The sequence below is a fragment of the Homo sapiens genome, chromosome 5 (assembly GCF_000001405.40).
Source record: "Homo sapiens chromosome 5, GRCh38.p14 Primary Assembly".
Lineage (NCBI taxonomy): Eukaryota > Metazoa > Chordata > Mammalia > Primates > Hominidae > Homo > Homo sapiens.
Window position 1 is genome coordinate 63124554 of NC_000005.10, and position 5237 is coordinate 63129790.

The 5237-nt window shown below is 36.9% G+C and overlaps 1 annotated feature.

Moving 5' to 3' along the window:
- Window positions 678-1228: an enhancer, noted in NCBI's record as "OCT4-NANOG hESC enhancer chr5:62421058-62421608 (GRCh37/hg19 assembly coordinates)". NCBI's record gives its function as "activates a minimal SCP1, AML or CMV promoter by ChIP-STARR-seq in naive H9 embryonic stem cells {active_cell/tissue: H9 hESC(naive)}" and the evidence as "EXISTENCE:reporter gene assay evidence [ECO:0000049][PMID:30033119]".

Consider the following 5237-nt stretch of genomic DNA (forward strand, 5'->3'; position numbering starts at 1 on the left):
AATAATTTATCTCAAGCCTGTTTTACTTTGGTAAATATTTAGCTTGTACAGTTGTACAGCACATATATTGCATGCTGACATATATTTTGAAATCAATACCAGAAATTGTCTGAAGAATGGGGGGTATTTGGTAGTATTTTGAGAATAAATAATGGTGTGCTACAACCTACTTGCATTGCCAGGAGGCAATTGTGTTCATCTTTTCCTAGCTCCATGATCACGTTAGTATCTTGAAATTGGTTAAGGTGGGAAAATTTACACTATGGCAATTGGCAAATAACAAAAATTCAAACCATTTTTTGGGAGCTGGTTGTTAGACATTCACCAGAACACCTTCAGAAATAAACTGTATTTGTAAACAAATTAATGTACTCTGGTGTTGCGGGCATTTACAAGAAAATCTGTCTTTCCTGATGAAGAAAAATAGCTGATTCTTGTTACCAGGCTTTAGACTAATTTGTGAAGATAAATTTTAGAGCCAGTTTAGAAAACAGATGAAATGAATTTGAGCTGCAATTTAGTAATGGCTTCTAAAGCTGTTGAGCAAATTGCTGAAGTAATTTTGGTATGTGAAACATATTCACTAAGGAGAGTGAAAATTCAAACTCCTTGCCTCCCTGACAGAAGGATGATTAATAGCAGAACTAGAAGGATCAGCATTTTCATGGAAAACTCTAGAAATCAGAGAGTTCCAAAGCTGTCATTAGTTTAGTTTTAAGGTTTTATAAGGAAAAAAACCAATGGCGAATTAAACATTTGTTAATTCAACCTGTATTATTTTATGAGTAGCTGTGTTATATGTACTTAAGTGAAGACAAGTGAGCTTAGAACTTAGAACCTAGAGTGTTTCATGTATGGTGCCTTCTTTCTGTTGATTTGCATTTCCACCCCTGGGAAATGCTAAAGAGGACTAAGGACACCATTGAAATGTCACTCTTTCTGAATGAGGGAGATGGCAGTGCTTCTCAAACTTTAATGTGTTTACAGAACCCCTGGGGAGACTTCCTGAAACTTAGATTCTCATGAAGTCTGGGGTTGGGGGGCTGGGTGGCACCTCTGCTGATGAGCAGTTGGTAGACCACTCCCTGAGGAAGGAGCTAGAATCCTTCTGAGGTGCAAGTGTGGAGATGCTCCTCAGCCAGTGTGATCCTCCCTCTCCCCAACCTTCCCCTCAGCAACAACCAGCAACATGTGATTTAAAAGTTTCCCTACTTTTATTCTTTTATACTTCCTTTCAGTTTAGATTTCTTTAGTGGTTGGGGGTAACAGTATTCTCCCTTAAAAATTCCTATGTGGGTCATTTCTTCTTAACACTTAAAACCGTTTCTCTCTCTCTCTGTCTCTCTCTCTCTCTCACTCTGTCTCTCTGTCTGTCTCTGTCTAGCTTGAGACTTACTGGGATTTCTGTAATTCTGCACTGCTTCCAGTAGAGGTCATTGCCTTGTTATAGAAATATTTCCTTTGTAAGAGATAGATCAATGGCTGGGATGACTGCATTTTGTGGGGGAGTCAGTGAGTCAGCCCGAGGGACTAGTTATCTCCAAGGCCACTGGTTTGCCCATAATAGCACCTCCATTTAAAAGTTGGAGACCCTCCACCTTCTTGTTAGTTAATCTAAATACAAAAAATTGGCAGACTTTTCCAATTACCTGGAACAAATGAAGGAAAAACCTACTGAAGCATGGCCAAAGTGCTCAGATGCTTTAGTGCGGTATGTTAATTTGCTAGGGCTGCTGTAATAAGGTAGTACAGACTGGGGAGCTTAAACAACTGAAATGTATTTGTTCACAGTTCTGGAGAATAGAAGTCCCAGGTTAAGGCATCAGCAGGGCTGGTTCCTTCTGAGGGCCATGAGGGAAAGATGCAGGCCTGTTCCTGTCCTCTCTTTTTGGCTTATAAATGGGTGTTTTCACATTGTCTTTCACTGGTATGAGTGTGTCTGTGCCCATATTTCCTTTTCTTAGAAGGATCAGTTATACTGGATTAAGGTCCAATTTAATCAACTCGTGTTAATTTAATTACCTCTTTAAAGTATCTATCTCCAAATGCAAGTACATTTTGAGGTTTTAGGGGTTAGAACTTCAACAAATGAATTTTTTGGTGGGAGACACAATTCCATAAATAAGCAAACTGTCCTAAGAGAAGAGGACTTCTTGGATGCACATAGCTTTGTCTACAGCTATAATTCACTTGTAAAATTTAAGTCAAAGCTTTACCTTTTCCTTCCATAAACTGAGTACATCTGGAAAAACGGAAGTAAAATAAAAATCAGCTTGCTTTACTTATCTTAAGTAATTGTTCATTTTCTTGTAGGTACTTCATATTGAAGGCTGGTCTAGGAGGAAAGACCTAGGGGAAGGAAACTCCAAAGTCAGAGATAAGTTGTAAAGCTTCTGGTTATATTTTCCAGATTCATTATCTTTCAGATTTCCTTTCCACCACTACTTCTTTCTGTCACAATTCCTTTGTTCTTTCAGGTCTGCTAAGTTGCTTTCTTGAAGTCTTTCCAGATCACATGAACTGAAAGTTAGTTTCTGTCCTCTGAATTCATTAATTTATTCTGAAAACTCACTCCAAAGCACCCATTCTCTTTGGAATACTCCGGGAATATGAACTTGAGTATGTCAGTTCCTTGTCCCCATTAGCTTATTACAGTAGAATAGAAATGTTTGTAAGGAATGTGTGGCTGGGCTTGGATAGAGACTTCTGGGAGAATCAGGAGATGTTTGATCTGTCATTCATTTGGAATGTATTTGTAAGCCTTAACAGTGCTCTCCTTACCGACTCATGAATTGTTGAATTGTAATCTTTGTATTTCTTGTATGGCAGTGTACATTGTAGGTATTCAACTAATGCTTTTCAAAGCATGAATAAAATCAGGCCTAGTACTCTTACTCTAGAATAAATGTTAAGGTCCTGTTCTATAAGGTGGGACTACTTGCCTAATCTCCTCACAGTCTGTGTTCAACAGGGCCCACACAGGCCTTATTACTATAAATCGTACTCCCAGGGGGGCTTTGTGAGAACAACAAAAAGATCTGTTGCAAATAATTGAACACAAGTTATAGGCTTAGAATTATATAAATATATTATATAGTTATTTTATAGATTCAACAACTGAAACATAGAGTGAGGTTTTGAGATTAGCATTTTACTTCCTCCTTTCTAAGGAAACACTGAAAGAAAACTTGAGCCAGCTTCTGGCTAAGACAACTGTCTGTCTTAGTCTGCTTCAAATTTTGGGGGTTCTTGCATGAACTTTCTTCCAACTCTTCTACCCTATTCTATTGGTGTTAGAATGGTGACATTTCCTCACAGTGGAGCCCTTTTAAAATTATAATGAAGACTCTAAATTTGCTTTGGGTCATTTTGAGTGCACTGACTTCATTAGTTGCAGCAGCAGAAGGATTCCTAATACTCCCATCTAGGAGCCATTGAAAATTTAATTTGGAAAAGTTTTTTTCCTCATTTTGGCATCTTGCACTATTACATTTCCTGTTGAGTATTCTGATGGCTGCATTTAAAAATAATTTGGTTTGCTTTAGAGGTTGAAGAGTCTGTCAATTTGATCTAAAATGAAATACAACCGTCACAGCCAAGAACCATGAATATCAAAACATCCTGTCTGGTTTTAGCCACTTGAGGAAATTACTATTTAACCAAATATTGAAGCAGTTAAACAGTAATTTACAAGGCCATTGTTCTCTGTTGCTGGAGACCTAAATTTTAAGGGCAGCTGCCACATCTTGAATGGAGACTGATGAACAGAAAAGAGTTCAAGAGACTTTCTCCAGTTCTGCTCTTCTGCTCGACTTCATGTCCCCTGGACTGTTTTCTTCCTCTTACTAACCCCCTACCACTGAAGAGAATGGGTTTGAGTATTCTTTTATTTTTCCTGATGTCTTTTTCACACGAATACTCTTAGCTTTGTGGTAACATGATGGAGTGAATTCTAGGTTTGAGAATTTTTTTTTCAGAGCCACATCAAAAATTCCCAGTAGAAAATGTGAGCAGCTGTGAAAGCCTCATAACTAGAATATCCAACTTGGACACAGGATGAGCTAAAACAGAATTGTCAAATCATTCCTGGGTGCCCTTTTCTTATAAGATAGTTATCATCCTGTTCAATATTTGGGCAAACTGACTATTCTATAGGCTCCTGAAATCTAAAATAGAAATTAGTTAGGTGTAGATGATTAAATGCGGTACTTTACTTTTCTGAGTAAAGATATTGCCCTAGTGCATTCTCTCTCTGCATGTTTGTGCTTGGGCTCCTTATGTCCCAGCAATATTTTGGCACAGGTTAAAAGTTTGGATTAAAATGGGACATGGTATAGGAGGTAGTCATACAGTTTATTCGCCAGTTTAGCACCAACTGCATCTGTCTCCCTGGTGAGAACACATTCTGTGTTTCCTTTAATCTCTTTTACAAGTGATGACAGCATATATTAACAGAGGGCTAGAATAAATCACTGGGTTTAAGTTAATGATCATCTAATAATAAGATGTGATAGGATTATATTAGAATTGCAGAATTGGGCTATTTATTAAGAGTGGCATGCTATCAAATTATAAGCCTCAGAGGACATAGAAGTAATTATAATCTTCTAGAAATGCAAAAAGTTAGCTTTTTGAAAGTCTATTTTATTATTTTGCTATAAATCATGGCCAGATAAGGTTAACTCTGAAAAATGTCGGATAAGTGAAAAAATAAATTTTATTAGCATTTAAATGAGACCTCATCTAATACTTTCTGGTAATTTTTAGAGGAATTCCACATTTTTGATACCTTTCTTATGCATAAAAGTGTTAAAACCTGATAACATAGAAATTAAGATGCTTTTTAAAAGTTTGATTTAGTGGTATAAAATATTACTAGCTGCAATTGTATTACATTGTGTAATTGCTCATTACAAAGCTTGCTGTCAAATATATATTAGCTAGAGGAGTTATATTATCCATCTGTGATGACTTGGAAGAAATGGCAGAGTGATCAGAAAGCTGAACACAGGAACTTAGAACTTGGAATTTGAATCTCAACTGGACTCTTTATCTGAATACTTATAGAACTTCCTTTACAGAATGAACCAAATCATTGCTTTTATACTGTTAAGTAACTTTTCTGAAAGTTCTTTGAGCCCCAGATGAAAGACCCTTATCTACTTCATTGTCTTCCATCATCTCCTACCTTGCTGCCCAGCATCTCATTTTTTGACTATCTGCAATTTTTATTTCTT